This window comes from Homo sapiens, chromosome 1 (genome assembly GCF_000001405.40).
Source record: "Homo sapiens chromosome 1, GRCh38.p14 Primary Assembly".
In the NCBI taxonomy this organism is placed as follows: domain Eukaryota; kingdom Metazoa; phylum Chordata; class Mammalia; order Primates; family Hominidae; genus Homo; species Homo sapiens.
Window position 1 is genome coordinate 44,918,644 of NC_000001.11, and position 17,331 is coordinate 44,935,974.

The following is a 17,331-nucleotide window of genomic DNA, read 5'->3' on the forward strand; positions in this document are numbered from 1 at the left end:
GCCTCCCAAAGTGCTGGGATTACAGGCGTAAGCCACTGCACCTAACCAATAGCATTCTTATATTGGTATTTTTCAGGTTTTCCATTTCAGGAATAATCTGATTTTCCATTGTGGAAAACAGGATTTAACTTATTTTCATCATCAACCCTGCTCCCATCATATACACCCATACTTCCTTATGCGTTTTACCTTCCCAATAATTGTTATATTATTTTGGTCAGCTCAATAATCAATGCTTAAGTTATTATGACTTCAGCTCTACGTATTAGCTATTTACTATAGAAAAGGACGATTTCACTCTTTTATTCCCTCATGCTTCCAACATACTAACCTCATCTCATCATTCCAAAGTAATTAAATCATAATTTGGGTTAGACTGTATCAGTGACTGCATTAGTATGCATATTTAAATATTAGTTACAGGCCGGGCTCAGTGGCTAATGCCTGTAATCCTAGCACTTTGGGAGGCTGAGGTGGGTGGATCACTTGAGGTCAGGAGTTCGAAACCAGCCTGGCCAACATGGTGAAACTCCATCTCTATTAAAAATACAAAAAAATTAGCTGGGCGTGGTGGCACACGCCTGTAATCCCAACTACTCGGGAGGCTGAGGCAGGAGAATCACTTGAACCCAGGAGGTGGAGGTTGCAGTGAGCTGAGATCACGGCACTGCACTCCAGCCTGGGCAACAGACTGAGACTCCCTCTCAAAAAAAAAAAAAAAAATTAGTTACAGCTGAACCACACAGTCACTAAGAATTTTTTCACCTGCACATTTTTGTGGTTTGCCTTGGTGTGAATAATTGTCTTATTTCTTAGTTTTCTAGGTGCTTACCAATAGTTCAACTCCAAACTAACTACTTAAGTGCTCCAAATCGTCTCAAAATGTTGAAACACATCACATGTTGTGTCATTTTCATCAGAAGAAATATGATCATCTTGAAGAAATCATTCCCAAGTTTTCTGACCTATTCCAGTGTGGTCTGGTTGCCATTTATACTGGGTGTACATGTGTTAGCCTGGAATCTCCCTTCATCATCATACTGGGGATTCATTTCATCTTAATTGAATGTCCTTTTTTTTTTTTTTTTTTTTGAGACGGAGGCTCACTCTGTCACCAGGCTGCAGTGCAGTGGTGCAATCTCGGCTCACCGCAATCTCCACCTCCCGGGTTCAAGCGATTCTCCTGCCTCAGCCTCCCAAGTAGCTGGGATTACACGCATGCGACAACATGCCTGGCTACTTTTTTTTTTTTTTTTTTAGTAGATATGGAGTTTCTCCATGTTGGCCAGGATGGTCTTGATCTCCTGACCTCGTGATCCGCCCACCTCGGCCTCCCAAAGTGCTGGGATTATAGGCATGAACCACTGCACCCGGCCTGAATGTCCTTTTTCTTTCTTTTTTTTTTTTTTCGAGCAGAGTCTCCCTCTGTCGTTCAGGCTGGAGTGCAATGATGCGATCTAGGCTCACTGCAACCTCTGCCTCCCAGGTTCAAGCATCAGTGCCCTTTTTCTTATATCCTGTGTCTTCCTCTTTCTTAGTTTATGCTAAGGTTTTGGTGCTATATAAACTCTAGCAGCTTTCCTTTTTTAATTTAATTTTTAATTTTTGTGAGTACATGCTAGGTACATACACTGATGGGTTACATGAGATATTTTGACACAGGCATGCAATACGTAATAATCACATCAGGGTAAATGGGGGTATCCATTACCTCAAGCATTTATCTTTTGTGTGACAAACAATCCAATTATACTCTCTTAGTTATTTTAAAATGTACAATTAAATTATTTTTTATTATAGTCACCCTGTTGTGCTAGCAAATATTAGGTTTTATTCATTCTTTCTAACTAATTTTTTGTACCCATTAACCATTCCCCACTCCCACCACCCCCACACTCTCTACCCTTTCCAGCCTCTGGTAATCATCCTTCTACTCTCTACTTCCATGAGTTCCATTGATTTTTAGCTCACACAAACAAGTAAGTGAAAACATGCAGTTTGTCTTTCTGAGCCTGGCTTATTTCACTTAACATAATGACCTCCAGTTCCATCCATGTTGTAGTAAATGACAGGATCTCATTCTTTTTTATGTCTGAATAGTACTTAATTGTGTATATGTACCACATTTTCTTTATCCATTCATCTGTTGATGGACGCTTAGGTTGCTTCCAAACCTTGGCTATTGTGAACAGTGCTGCAATAAACATAGGAACGCAAATATCTCTTCAATATACTGATTTCCTTTCTTGTGGGTATATACCTAGGAGTGGGATTGCTGGATTGTATGGTAGCTCTATTTTTTACTTTTTTGAGGAACCTCCAAACTGTTCTCCATAGTGGCTGTACTAATTTATATTCCCATAAACAGTATATGAGAGTTCCCCTTTCTCTACAACCTTGCCAGCATTTGCTACTACCTCACTTTTGGATAAAAGGCATTTTACCTAAGGTGAGATGACATCTCATTGTTTTTATTTGCATTCTCTGATGATCAGTGATGTTGAACACCTTTTCATATATCTGCTTGGCATTTATTTGTATGACTTCTTTTGAGAAATGTCTATTCAAATCTTTTGCCTATTTAAAAGTCAGATTAGGTTTTCTCCTATAGAGTTGTTTGAGCTCCTTCTATATTCTGGTTATTAATCCCTTGTCAGATGGGTAGTTTGCAAATATTTTCTCTCATTCTGTGGGTTGTCTCTTTACTTTATTGATTGTTTCCTTTGCTGTGCAAAAGCTTTTTAACTTGATATGATCCCATTTGTCCATTTTGCTTTGGTTGCCTGTGCTTGTGGGGTATTACTCAAGACATCTTTGCTCAGACCAATGTCCTGGAGACTTTCCTCAATGGTTTCTTGTAGTAGCTTCATAGTTTGAGGTCTTAGATTTAGGTCTTTAACCATTTTTATTTGATTTTTGTATATGGCAAGAGACAGGGGTCTAGTTTCATTCTTTTGCATATGGATATCCAGTTTTCCTAGCACCATTTATTGAAGAGATTGTCCTTTCCCCAACGTATATTCTTGGCACCTTTGTCAAAAATGAGTTCACTGAAGGTGTATGGATTTATCTCTGGTTCTCTATTCTGTTCCACTGACCTATGTGTCTGTTTTTATGTCAGTACCATGCTGTTTTGGTTACCAAAGCTCTGTAGTATAATTTGAAGTCAGGTAATATGATTCCTGTAGCTTTGTTCTTTTTGCTTAGGATAACTTTGGCTATTCTGGGTCTTCTGTAATTCCATATATATATATTTTTTTATTTTATTTTATTTTATTTATTTTTTTTTGAGATGGAGTCTTGCTCTGTCACCCAGGCTGGAGTGCAATGGCGCAATCTCAGCTCACTGCAACCTCCATCTCATGTGATACTCCTGCCTCAGCCTCCCAAGTAGCTGGGATCACAGGCGCCCACAACCACGCTCAGCTAATTTTTGTATTTTTAGTAGAGATGGGGTTTCACCACACTGGCCAGGCTGGTCTCTGGTCTCTAACTCCTGATCTCAAATGATTCACCCGCCTTGGCCTCCCAAAGTGCTGGAATTACAGGCGTGAGCCACCATGCCCAGCCAATTCCATATAAACTTTAGGATTGTTTTTTCTATTTCTGTGAAGAATGTCATTGGTATTTTGATAGGGATTGCATAAAATCTATAGATTGCAGCCAGGCATGGTGGCTCACGCCTGTAATCTCAGCACTTTGGGAGGCCGAGGCGGGAGGGTCACCTGAGGTCAGGAGTTCAAGACCAGCCTGGGCAACATGGTGAAACCCCATCTCCACTAAAAATACAAAAATTAGCTGGGCATGGTGGTGGGCGCCTGTAATCCCAGCTACTTGGGCGGCTGAGGCAGGAGAATCATTTGAGCCCGGGAGGTGGAGGTTGCAGTGAGCTGAGATCACACCACTGCACTCTAGCCTGGGATATAGAGCGAGACTCTGTCTCAAGACAAAAAAAAAAAAAAAAAAATCTGCAGATTGCTTTGAGGAGTATGGATATTGTAACAATACTGATTTTTTCAATCCATGAACATGGAATATCTTTCCATTTTTTGTGTCCTCTTCAAATTCTTGCATCAATATTTTATAATTTTCATTGTAGAGACCTTTTGCTTCTTTGGTTAAGTTAATCCCCAGGTAATTTATTTTATTTGTAGCTATTGTAATAGAATTACTTTCTTGATTTCTTTTTCAGATTTTTTTTTTTTTTTTTTTTTTTTTTTGAGACTGAGTCTTGCTCTGTTGCCCAGGCTGGAGTGCAGCGGCACCATCTCGGCTCGCTGTAACCTCTGCCTCCCAGCTTCAAGCACTTCTCATGCGTTAGCCTCCCAAGTAGCTGGGACTACAGGCACATACCACCATGCCTGGCTAATTCTTTTTCAGATCCTTTGCTGTTAGCATATAGAAATACTACTGATTTTCATATATTGACTTTGTATCCTGGAACTTTACTATATTTATCAGTTCTAATAGTTTTTCATGGAGTCTTTAGTTTTTTCCAAATACAAGATTATTTCATCTGCAAACACAGATAATTTGACTTCTTCCTTTCCAATTTAGATGCCCTTTATTTCCTTCTCTTGTTTGACTGCTCTAGCTAGGACTTCCAGTACTATGCTGGGTAACAGCAGTGAAAGTGGGCATCCTTGTCTAGTAAGCTTTCTCAAAATAGATGCATGGAAAACAAATGTCTAAAAAGTTCTCATTCTACTCTCATATTTGATTGATAGTTTGATTAGATAGAAATAAGAATGTTAAAGTCATTGTTTATAGTTGCCAGTATTGCTGTTAGGAAGTTCAAAGCTATTTTAATTCCTTTGTATATGATATCCTCTCTCCTCTCCGGGAGCTTGTAAGATCTCTTTGTTAGCAGTTATAAAATTTCACAATGATAACCTTGGTATGTTTCTTTTCTCCATTTTACTGGGAACTCAGTTTCCTTTCAGTCTAGAAACCCAGTTCCTTTTATCCTCAGAAAATTTTAAAAATTATTTCACTGATGTTTTCTTCTCTCCATTTCTTTCTTTCTAGAAATCCATGTTCTAATTCAGAGGCATTAATTCATTAATTACATTTAATCATCTTTGTATTTCATTTCTATGAGATTCTAATTTCTTTCTTTTCCTCCCTTCCTTCCTCCCTCCCTCCTTCTCTTTCTCTCTTTCTTTCTTTCATTTTTTTGAGACAGGGTCTCACTCTGTCACCCAGCCTGGAGTGCAGTAGTACAATCATGGCTCACTGCAGCCTCAACCTCCTAGGCTCAAGCAATCCTCCAACCTCAGAGATTCTAATTTCTTTCCTTTTTTTTTTTTTTTTTTGAGACAGAGTCTCGCTGTGTCACCCAGGCTGGAGTACAGCGGTGCAATCTCGGCTCACTGCAAGCTCTGCCTCCCAGGTTCATGCCATTCTCCTGCCTCAGCCTCCCGAGTAGCTGGGACTACAGGTGCCTGCCACCACACCCAGCTAATTTTTTGTATTTTTAGTAGAGACAGGGTTTCACCGTGTTAGCCAAGATGGTCTTGATCTCCTGACCTCGTGATCCCCCCGCCTAGGCCTCCCAAAGTGCTGGGATTACAGGCGTGAGCCACCGCGCCCAGCCAGAGATTCTAATTTCTTAAACGATTTTCTTTTTTACCTAGATCACTGATATCTCAGACCATTCCTCTTTGTCAATAATTTGATTTTCAGTGGTGTCTATGCCATTCTTTAGCTATTTTAAAATTTATTAACTCTGTAATAATTTAATCCTTTTTTTGTTTGTTTGTTTTTGTTTGTTTTTTGAGACCGAGTCTCACTCTGTCGCCCAGCGCAATCTAGGCTCACTGCAACCCCTGACTCTTGGGTTCAAGCAATTCTCCTGCCTCAGCCTCCCAAGTAGCTGGGACTACAGGCACATGCCACCACGCCTGGCTAATTTTTGTATTTTTAGTAGAGACGGGGTTTCACTGTGTTAGCCAGGATAGTCTCGATCTCCCGACCTTGTGATCCACCTGCCTCTGCCTCCCAAAGTGCTGGAATTACAGGCGTGAGCCACCATGCCTGGCCAATCCTCTTTTTTTTGGTTCTATAATATCCTCTTTTTTATCATCTCATTACTGAACTTTTATTTATTAAATTCATGTTGTAATAAGTAGTTTTATGGTTATACAGTTGCATAGTTTTAAGAAAATTTCTTCTGTTTCTTGAGTTATATTCTTTTCAGGATAGCTTCTTTGTCTTTTACGGGACATTTTTCTTGCTTTCATTTTGTTTTCTGTAGTATATTTGTACAGCTGACATTCTGATTCTTTTGAGCTTACTCATGCTTGAGTCATGGCTCTGCCCAGATGTTTTATTTGTTTTGATATAACATAAATGAATTCTCTTTTCCTTCTGTATCTGAGACCAGCTACCATGTAAGTACTGGTGTGGAGAAACTGGGGCTCTTATGCACTGTTGGTGGGATTGTAAAATAGTGAAAATGCCATGGAAACAGTATGTAGTTTCCTCAAAAAATTAAACATCATAGTTCTCTACCATATGATCCAGTAATCCCACTTCTAAATATATATCCAAAAGAACTGAAAGCAAGGTCTTGAAGAGATGTCTGTACACCCACGTTCACTGCAGCACTATTCACAATAGCCAAGAGGTGGCAGCAACTCAAATGTCTGTCAGAAGATAAATGGATGACAAAATGTGGCTACATACATACAACGGAGTATTATTCAGCCTTAAAAAAAACGAAATCCGTTATATGCTACGGCATGGACAAACCTTGAGGACATTATGCTAAGTAAAATTAGCCAGTCACAAAAAGACCAATATTGTATGATTTCACTTAGATATTTAAAGTAGAATCGTGGGTAGCAAGGCCTTGCGGGGAGAAAAAAATGGGGAGGGGAGCTGTTGTTTGATAGGTATAGAATTTCAGATTTGCAAGATGAAAGTTCTCGAGATCTGTTTCACCACAATGTGAACACATTTAACACTACTCAACTGTTCACTTAAAAATGGCCACTTAGGGCTGGGCACGGTGGCTCACTCCTGTAATCCCCAGCACTTTGGGGGCTGAGGCGGGTGGACTACGGGTCAGGAGTTCAATACCAGCCCAGCCAATATGGTGAAACCCCGTATCTACTAAAAATACAAAAATTAGCTGGGTGTGGTGGCACATGCCTGTAGTCCCAGCTGCTTGGGAGGCTGAGGCAGGAGAATCGCTTGAACCTGGGAGGCGGAGGTTACAGTGAGCCAAGATTGCACCATTGCATTCCAGCCTGGGCAACAGAGCAAGACTCCCTCTCCAAAAAAAAAGGCCACTTAGAATGGGCCGCACGGTGGCTCACGCCTGTAATCCTAGCACTTTGGGGGGCCGAGGTGGGCGGATCACTTGAGGTCAGGAGCTAGAGACCAGCCTGGCCAACATGGTGAAACTCCGTCTCTACTAAAAATACAAAAATTAGCTGGGCGTGGTGGCGCATACCTGTAATCCCAGCTACTCAGGAGGCTGAGGCAGGAGAATCACTTGAACCCAGGAGGCAGAGGTCGCAGTGAGCCAAGATTGCACCACTGTACTCCAGCCTGGGTGACAGAGTGAGACTCAGTCTCAAAAAACTTAAAACAAAAACCAAAGCCAAACCAAACCAAACCAAAACAAAACAAAAAAACAAAGGTTACAATGGTACATTTTATGTCATGTGTTTTTTTTACCACTTTTTTTTTTAAAGGGGATTTATAACACTGTCAGAAAGACAGTCCTGTTCTCCTCACAGCTGCTTTGCTTTACTCTTTTGCAGGATTTGGCTCTACCTTGGCAAGAAAAGACAGGGAAACAGGCTTATGCAGTGAAGAAAAGCCTTCATCCTGTCTCATGGGAAAAATATTCACATACTTTTGTCAATTTCACACAGTATAGTCTAGTTTTCATTCCCTCTTTCCCATCCACTGGGTGGTTTTATTTTGTTTTAAGACAAGGAGAATTGCCAGAAGAAAAAACCCTAGGGCTTACTTCTGTAGGATGGATCCCTTAATGACCAGCTCTTCATCCAAGTCTGCTTCATTAGCCATGAAGAGCAGCCTCTTTCCTGTGCTGTCCACTCCAATGAAGTCACGCTGCTCCACTGAATCATACAAAAGAAAAAAAAAATCAAATAAAGCCATTTGCCCTGCCTGTATGAATACACCAGGGAACACAGTATCTGCTCAGTGCTCTTGGAAACAACACAGGATTGAAGGGTGGGTGCAGTGGCTCACGCCTGTAATCCCAAGACTTTGGGAGGCCAAGGTGGGTGGATCACCTGGGGTCAGGACTTTGAGACCAGCCTGGCCAACATGGCGAAAGACTGTCTCTACTAAAAATACAAAAATTAGCCGAGTGTGGTGTTACGCCCTGTAGTCCCAGCTGCTTGGGAGGCTGAGGCAGGAGAATTACTTGAACCCGGGAGGTGGAGGTTGCAGTGAGCTGAGATCGTGCCACTGTAGTGCACTCCAGCTTGGGTGACAGAGTGAGATTCCATCTCAAAAAAAAAAAACAGGATTGAGATGAGAGAGGAGCTATAATAAGTGCGTTAGGCCATTTTGCGTTACTATAAAGAATCTGCAACTAGGTAATTTACAAAGAAAGATTTATAATTTATAATTGTCTCATGGTTCTGCAGGGTATACAGGAAGCATACAGGAGGTTTCTGGGGAAGCCTCAGGGAACTTTTTACTCATGGCAGAAGGTAAAGCGAGAGCAGGCTGGTCACATGGCAAGAGAGGGAATAAGAGAGAGCTGGGGGAGAGATGCCATACACCTTTAAATGAGAACTCACTCACTATCACAAGAACAGCACCAAGCCATGAGGGATCCGCACCCATGACCCAAACACCTCCCACCAGGCCCTACCTCCAACACTGGGGATTACATTTCAACAAGAGATTTGGGGGAACATCCAAACTATACCAATGAGTGTCCTATAGCACATGCCATGGTGTTTAAAACATAGGTGATCAAATTTGTTTTGTACTGCTCTAAAGGATATTATTAATTGGTGACGTTTAAACAAGGTCTGTATGTTAAAGTATGGTACCAATGTAATTTCCTGTTTTGAGAGACTATCATTTTTGGAGGAGAGGGAGGAAATACTTATTGACGTATTTAAAGGCAAAGGAAAATCATATCTGCAACTTATTCTCAGATAGCTCAGAAAATAATAATCATATATATTATATTATGTATGCATTATATATATTGAATATATATTACAAAGAAAGAGAGAGTGGCTGGGCAGTGGTTCCTGCCTGTAATTCCAGCACTTTGGGAGGCTGAGGCAGAAGCATCACTTGAGCCCAGGAATTCAAGATCAGCCTGGGCAACACTGCAAGACCTCATCTCTACAAATAATAAAAAAATTAGCTGGGCATGGTGGCATGCACCTATAGTGAGGAAGCTGAGGCAGGGGGATCCCTTTAGCCTGGGAGGCTAAGGCTGCAGTGAGCCATGACTGCTGTACTGCACTCCAGCTCGGGTGACAGACCAAGACCTTCTCTCAGAAATAAATAGGCCGGGCATGGTGGCTCACACCTGTAATCCCAGCACTTTGGGAGGCCAAGGCAGGTGGATCACCTGAGGTCAGGAGTTCCAGACCAGCCTGGCCAACATGGTGAAACTCGTCTCTACTAAAAATAAAAAAATCAGCTGCCGAGTGTGGTGGCAGGCGCCTGTAATCCCAGGTACTTGGGAGGCTGAGGCAGGAGAATCACTTGTACCTGGGAGGCAGAGGCTGCAGTGAGCTGAGATCACACCACTGCACTCCAGCCTGGGCGACAGAGTGAGACTCCATCTCAATAAATAAATTAATTAATTAAGTAAAGTTACTTTATTTATTTAGGGCGCTTCGTTTTTTTTTTTTTTAAAGAATTTTCTCTCTGCAAATAATAACCTAGGTCTTCTTACTGTGAAAATGGGAATAATATTATTTAAAGTCATCCACATTCAACCAACATTAACTACAGGCAGTAGATTCTATGCTATGTATAGTCTATATTTTATTATGTGTGAAGAGGTCTTGGTAGACAGTGATCTTACAGGCTGCTATATTATTGCTATTTTCTATGTCATACTTCTCTTCCCCGACTAGATTATAAACTTTTCAAAGGCAGGCTTCTGATTCTTTTCTATCTCCCATAACATCTAGTACAGTGTTACATACTTAATAATATGTGCTACTAACATCTGTACAGTATCTATAGCTTACAGAAACATTTTCTCATAGTGACAAAATAGCAGAATGATTAAGAACAGAACTTCTGGAGCCAGACTGCCTAGGTATGAATCCCAGCTCAGCCAATTACCAGTTTATGTTAGAGCAAGTTACTTAACCTCTCTTCCTCAGTTTCATCTATAAAATGGGGATAATAATAGTGTTTGTCTCACAGGTTTATTATGCAGAATAAGTGAATTAATATTTGTAAAGAATTTATAATAGTGTTATTAACTAAAACATTAAATAAAATGTTAAGTTTAAAAATTAAACAAAATACACCCTCTAATTTAATCCTCACAACAACCACATAAAGCAATGCCTCAATACCTCTTTACATAGGAGAAACAGAAAGTTTAGCTCTAGGAAAAATGAGATCTGTAAAGATGAATTTGCTTCCTACTGACAGACAATGGCTGCTAAATAACAGAATATGTTTCGCTGTTGGCTAAAGCTGCCTGTATACCTATAACCAAATATATGATTCAATTGTACAATACGTTTAGCTCAGGTACTTGAAAGTATTCAAGATCACCAATCAGATGGTCTCTGGTCATCTTATATGCAGTGTTTTAATATAAATGAGGAAAAACAATTATAAAAAATTATATGTTGGGGTTTTTTAGTTCAATAACCAAATGAAATCCAAAAAAGGAAGAGCAAATGCTGCCAATCTGAAGCTAAATTTTGCAGAGAATTTCAAATGCCACATAGCAGCTTAGACATATATCAACTTATACATTACATGGAAACTTGAGAATGTAACAAAGTCTGTAAGGGTCTCATTATGAGCCAGCCATTTAACAAAAGAAACACGGAGATGTTATTTTTGGATATAATTTGGAATGCTTCCCCTACTCAAGTCCTAAGGCTCACAGAAACCTTGAATCACTGATGTCCTGGGAGCAATAATTTCCAGCCAGCCAATTTTTCAGCTATGTTGCACTTTAGTCATTTTTCTCTCCCTCTCAGACCCTCCACCTTGTATTGCTTCTTTGCAGCTATTACAGTAACTGGGACTTCAGAATGTGATACAAATTATAGAAACTTGGAAAGGTTTCTTTCTGTTCTGCTTTAGCAAAATAGGAATTTCACTTTGGGAGCAGAGCAGGTAATTGTAGAATGTCTTCCTAAGAAGAAAGGCTACACAAACTTAAGAAAGCAGACAAAACTGAACTTCTATTAAAAAAAAAGTCCGTCATATTCAAGTATTCACGTTTTTTTCCCTAGTTGATTTTTACTTTTCTGACTGATTCTTCTGTCTCATCTACAGGCATTTTGCTTATCCATTCATTCATTGATTCATTCATTCTACCAATAAATATCTTTGTACACCTACCCTATGGTAGGTGCTATGTCTAGAGTTAGGAATTCCAACTCATTTTATAAGGCCAGCATGATCCTGATGCCAAAACCAGGCAAGGATATTATGAGAAAGGAACAGGCAAATTTACTCATTAGCAAGTCAAAATAGTATGTCGAGTAGATTAAAAAGGGTCACAAACTTGTTGGAGCTCCTCCTATCCAAAGGTAAGGTTAGTTCCCTATCCTTTATATCTGGGCTTGCTCCATAACTAGCTTTGAACTAACAGAGCGCAGCAGCTGAAGTGACAGTGTGTGTTTTGAGTTTAGACTTCAAGAGACTTTGTAGCCTCTGCTGTCATGCTTAGAACCTGCTGCTGCTACCTTGTAAACAAGCCTGGGCTAACCCCCTGGATGGTAAGAGACTAGATGAAAAGAAAAATCCAGCTGTCAAGGCTGAGGCTCTCCCTATATATTTTTTTTCTTTTTTTTGGAGGTGCAGTCTTGCTCTGTCGCCCAGGCTGGAGTGCAGTGGTGCAACCTTGGCTCACTGCAACCTCCGCCTCTCGGGTTCAAGCAATTCTCCTGCCTCAACCTCCCAAGTAGCTGGGACCACAGGCATGTGCTACCATGTCCAGCTAATTTTTGTATTTTTAGTAGAGACGGGGTTTTGCCATGTTGGCCAGGCTGGTCTCGAACTCCTGACCTCAGGTGATCCACCCACCTCCCAAAGTGCTGGGATTACAGGTGTGAGCCACTGTGCCCAACCAAGGCTCTATACATATTAATGAGCCCAGTTACAGGAGACTAAGATAAGAATGATAGTTGCCTCCTGGTATTCACATTCTTGTATATCCCTTCTTGAATGTGGGCTGGCCTAGTGACTTGCTTCTAACCAACAGAACGTGGCAAAGGTAATAAAATGTTACTTCTATAATTAGGTTACATAAGATTGTGACTTCTGTCTTTCTAGAAGAGTTTCTCCCTTGCTGGCTTTGATGAAGTAAGTTTCCAAGTTGGAAAGGCCCAAGTGATAAAGAAAGGAGGGTAGCTTCTGGCCAACAGCATGGTGGAAACTGAGGTTCAGTCCAACAGTCCTAGGGAAATGAAATTCTCCCAATAACCAAGTAAGCTTGGAACCAAATCCCTTCCCAGTTGAGCCTTCAGATGAGACTCCAGCCCTAGCTGACATCTTGACTGCAGCCTTCTGAAAGACTGGTGGACCAGCTAAGTCATGCCTGGATTCTTGGCCCACAGTGTTGTTTTAAACTGTTAAATGTGTGGCAACTTTTATAAGTAATTAATTGTTAAAACACTAGCTGATATCACTTGAACAGAGATGAGCCATCTTGGCTACACTTAGGCCAAACTGCCAACCTACAGACTCATAAGCAAGTAAATGTTTGTTGTTTTAAGCCACTAGAGTTTACGAACATTTGTTATGTAGTAAAAACTAACACAACATGTAAAAGGATAATAAGCCATGACCGAGTTGGGTTTATCCCAGGTATCATCATCACATCATCAGAGAAAAATCATATACCACTTGATAGATGCAGAAAAAGCATCTGATAAAATTTATATCCTTAGGCCAAGAAGCTCCCAATAAACCAGAACTAGAAAGGAACTTTCTCAATCTGATAACAAGTACCTATAAAAATGTATAGTACGCTGGGCATGGTGGCTCACGCCTATAATCCCAGCACTTTGGGAGGCCAAGGCAGGTGGATCATTTGAGGCTAGGAGTTCAAGATCATCTCTGCTAACATGGCAAAACCTCATACCAAAACACAAATATTAGCTGGGCATGGTGGCACATGCTGGTAATCCCAGCTACTTGGGAGGTTGAAGCAGGAGAATTGCTTGAACCCAGGAGGCGGAGGTTGCAGTGAGCCAAGATTGTGCCACTGCCTTCTAGCCTGGACAACAGAGAGAGACTGTCTCAAAACGAACACACACACACACACACACACACCCCTATAGTAATAAACATCATTTTAACTGGAGAGATGTTGAAAATATTCCTTTTAAAATCAGGAATGAGAAAAGGGTGCCAACTAGCATCATTTGTACACATAATTTTATTGGAGGTCCTGGCCAGCACAGTAAGACAAGAAAAAGAAACCAGAAACTTAGACTACTGGGTGGGGGTGGGAAGTCTACAGCCATATCACCCTGAAGGCATCTGATCTCATCTGATCTATGCAGGGTCAGGCCTAGTTAGTACTTGCATGGAAGTCTGCTTAGGAATACCATGTGATAAACAAACAAACAAACAAACAAAAAACTATTGTGAGACCTTTGTCAAAGAATACAAAATTTCACTTAGGAGGAATAAGCTCATAAAGAGACCTAATACAACCTGGTGACTAGTTAGTAACAATGTATTGTATTCTTGAAAATTCCTAAGAGAGTAGATTTTAAGTGTTCTCACTTGAAGAACTTCGGAAACAAAAAGATCCTATAAGCTCCCCCTCCCATCCCAAGAAAAAGAGGAAAAAAGTGTTTCATGCAAAGAATCAAGAATCAGAATGATGTTGGACTTCTTAAAAGAAAAGCTAGAAGACAGTAAAACAAAACAAAACAAAACAAAACAAAAAACCTTCAAAATTTTGAGGGGATATGATTTCCAAGAGAAGTTTATATCCAGCCAAAATATGAAACAAATATGTGGGCAGAATAAAGACACTTTCAGGGATACAAAAGCTCAAAAATTTACTTCTCACAATCTGTACCTCAGGAGGCTTCCAGAGGATGTGTCCTACAGAAAATGTGGGTATAAAGTAAGAAAGAAGAAAACGTGAGGTTCAAGATATGACAGTGAAGGGTGAACCTAAAATGACAGCTCTACAGCAGGGCAACTAACTCAGGTTAGAAAAGCTTTAGGAGAGGTACCTTGAAGAATTTGAAATTGAGAGGACATCTAGTGTGTTGCAATGTAAGGAGAGGAAATTCACACAATTGGAGCTTGGGTTGAATTAGTGACAAATACATAAAAAACAAGCAAATGAAAAAACAAGACAATCTTTAGGAAAACAAAAGGAGGAAAGAGAAAAGTAATCATATACTACAAGGCTCAACTGTGAATACTATTTATACAGTCATGATAATATAAACATAAAATATTCAGTTAATTAATAATACAATATGAATAACTATATTAGGAAATTGGGCCAAATACAAGGTTGCATACATGTAGTGGGGGCAGAGCATGTGGTAAAATAGAACCAAATCTTTACATTCTATAGTAAGAAGTGAACAGATAATTCTTAAAGCTAAAAAAATTAAGACACAGAAAATAAAAGCACGTTATTTGGAGATATGGAGTTAAATGCCAAAAAATTAGCTGAAAATGTTGAAAGTGGCATCTCTAAGTGGGGTGAGGATAGATAGGGTGAGGGGCTGCTATTTATTATAATATATCTTAGATAATTAGATACTCTTTAAATTTTGGGCATATAAAACTTTGATAAAGATAAAAACTAAATTCAAAAAAGAAATAGCACAGGTTATGGAATCAGAAGGCATGGGTTTGAGTTCTGGCTCTTACCACTTACCACTGATGTTATCTCGAGCAACTGTCCACAAAATGCTATTAGGCCATAAATGCTATTAGGTCAAAATGCTATTAGGCCATAAAAAACAAGACAAACACTTGGTAAATAAGAAAATTATGGCTGGGCACAGTGGCTCACACCTGTAATCCCAGCACTTTGGGAGGCCGAGGCGGGAAGATCACCTGAGGTTGGGAGTTTGAGACCAGCCTGACCAAAATGGAGAAACCCCGTCTCTACTAAAAATACAAAATTAGCCAGGCATGGTGGCACATGCCTGTAATCCCAGCTACTAGGGAGGCTGAGGCAAGAGAATCACTTGAATCCAGGAGGTGGAGGTTGCGGTGAGCCAAGATCGTGCCATTGCACTCCAACCTGGGCAACAAGAGTGAAACAGGCTGGGCACAGTGGCTCACACCTGTAATCCCGGCACTTTGGGAGGCTGAGGCAGGTGGATCACGAGGTAAGGAGTTCAAGACCAGCCTGGCCAAGATGGTAAAACCTCGTCTTTACTAAAAAATACAAAAAATTAGCTAGGTGCAGTGGCAGGCGCCTGTAATCCCAGCTACTCGGGAGGCTGAGGCAGGAGAATCACTTGAACTCGGAGGGCAGAGGTTGCAGTGAGCCAAGATTGTGCCACTGCGATCTAGCCTGGGTGACAGAGTGAGACTCTGTCTCAAAAAACAAAACAAAACAAAACAAAATTCAATTTTGAGTATGTAGGAATTTCAAGTCACTTTATTTTTATTTTGTTTTTTAAATTTTTTTAATTTTTTATTATTTTTTATTTTATTTTTATTTTTTGAGAAGGAATTTTGTTCTTGTTGCCCAGGCTGGAGTGCAGTGGTGATCCCAGCTCACTACAACCTCCACCTCCCAGGTTCAAGCAATTCTCCTGCCTTAGCCTCCCAAGTAGCTGGGATTACAGGCACCCACCACCACGCCCAGCTAATTTTTGTATTTTTAGTAGAGACAGGGTTTCACCATGTTGGCCAGACTGGTCTTGAATTCCTGACCTCAGGTGATCCACCCACCTCAGCCTCCCAAAGTGCTGGGATTATAGGTGTGTGCCACACGCCTGGCCCACTTTATTTTTTAAAATGGGGTGGGATTTGGAAGACTGAGAGGAGAAAATAGTTAACACAGAAGCCCAAACAGGTTTTTTTTTGGTAGTACAGCTTCAAGAGAAGTAAAGAAAGCTGTAGCAAAAGAAATACTGTACAGGCTCAGAACTGCCTGCCAACATCTGTTAGTGCAGAGGGAGCTAAGCCGATTAAGAGGTGACAGCCAAGTAAGAGTTTTCACTCATGGTTCTGAAGTACATTAACATGTACTGATTCTAGTCTGGGCCAAGGCCATATAACTCTGAGAACTAAGGAGTTTGGGAAATACTACAGTGAATTGGATTGGTTAAATAAAGTTTCCTAGAACATTTTCTATTTCAAGTATTCCAAGAGATACAGTGGGACTATAGAGACAATAGTCAATGATTTGTGTCATTAAATCATGATAGTATTAAACAATTACATAGAGGAATGTACAGGAAAAAAAGCCCCCTAATAAACATATTATCTGCAATAAAGCAATATAAATATATTATCTTCTCACTGAAATTGAGAAAAGGAAAGTTTCTAACAAGGGATGGAAAACAAATTATTTTTACATATTATTGCAAGTTTAAGATATATATGCATATACGGTGTCACTGAAATTCTCTATGTGTCGTCTTTACTGTTTGATGTTTGTGAATGTAAACAATTACAAATGAGAGGCTTTTATAAATTCTTTTTTTATTTTGGAGATGGAGTCTTGCTCTGTTGCCCAGGGTGGAATACAGTGGCGTGATCTTGGCTCACTGCAACCTCTGCCTCCCGGGTTCAAGCAATTCTCCTGCCTCAGCCTCCCGAGTAGCTGGGACTACAGGCATGTGCCACCACACCCAGCTAATTTTTTTGTATTTTTAGAGAGAGAGGGTTTCACCATGTTGGTCAGGCTGGTCTCAAACTGCTGACCTCAAATGATCCTCCCACCTTGGCCTCCCAAACTGCTGGGATTATAGGCGTGAGCCACTGCACCCAGCCTGTAAATTCTTTTAAAAACACAATACCTAGTCTAATTTTCCCCATCAGACTCCAAGTTTCTTAAAATGCCCTATGACTGGGGAGAGTACAATGAACACTTTTTTGTGTCTCCTTGAGGGTAGGGATATTGTGGCATTTTGGTTTTTTTTTTTTTCTGTTTCTATAGCCTTGGTG

The 17,331-nt window shown here is 40.4% G+C and overlaps 1 protein-coding gene and 1 pseudogene across 6 annotated transcripts in view; one reads left to right on the plus strand and one right to left on the minus strand.

Annotated features, from left to right (window-relative positions):
- Window positions 1-17,331, minus strand: part of EIF2B3 (eukaryotic translation initiation factor 2B subunit gamma) — a 136,074-nt gene that overhangs the window by 68,122 nt on the left and 50,621 nt on the right. For all 6 annotated transcript variants that reach the window (XM_047433500.1, XM_047433499.1, NM_001261418.2 and 3 more), the window contains one exon: window positions 7,985-8,096. In XM_047433500.1, coding sequence (XP_047289456.1) covers window positions 7,985-8,096 — 112 coding nt within the window. The remainder of the gene's footprint in view (window positions 1-7,984; window positions 8,097-17,331) is intronic.
- RNA5SP47 (RNA, 5S ribosomal pseudogene 47) lies at window positions 13,680-13,788 on the plus strand (annotated as a pseudogene).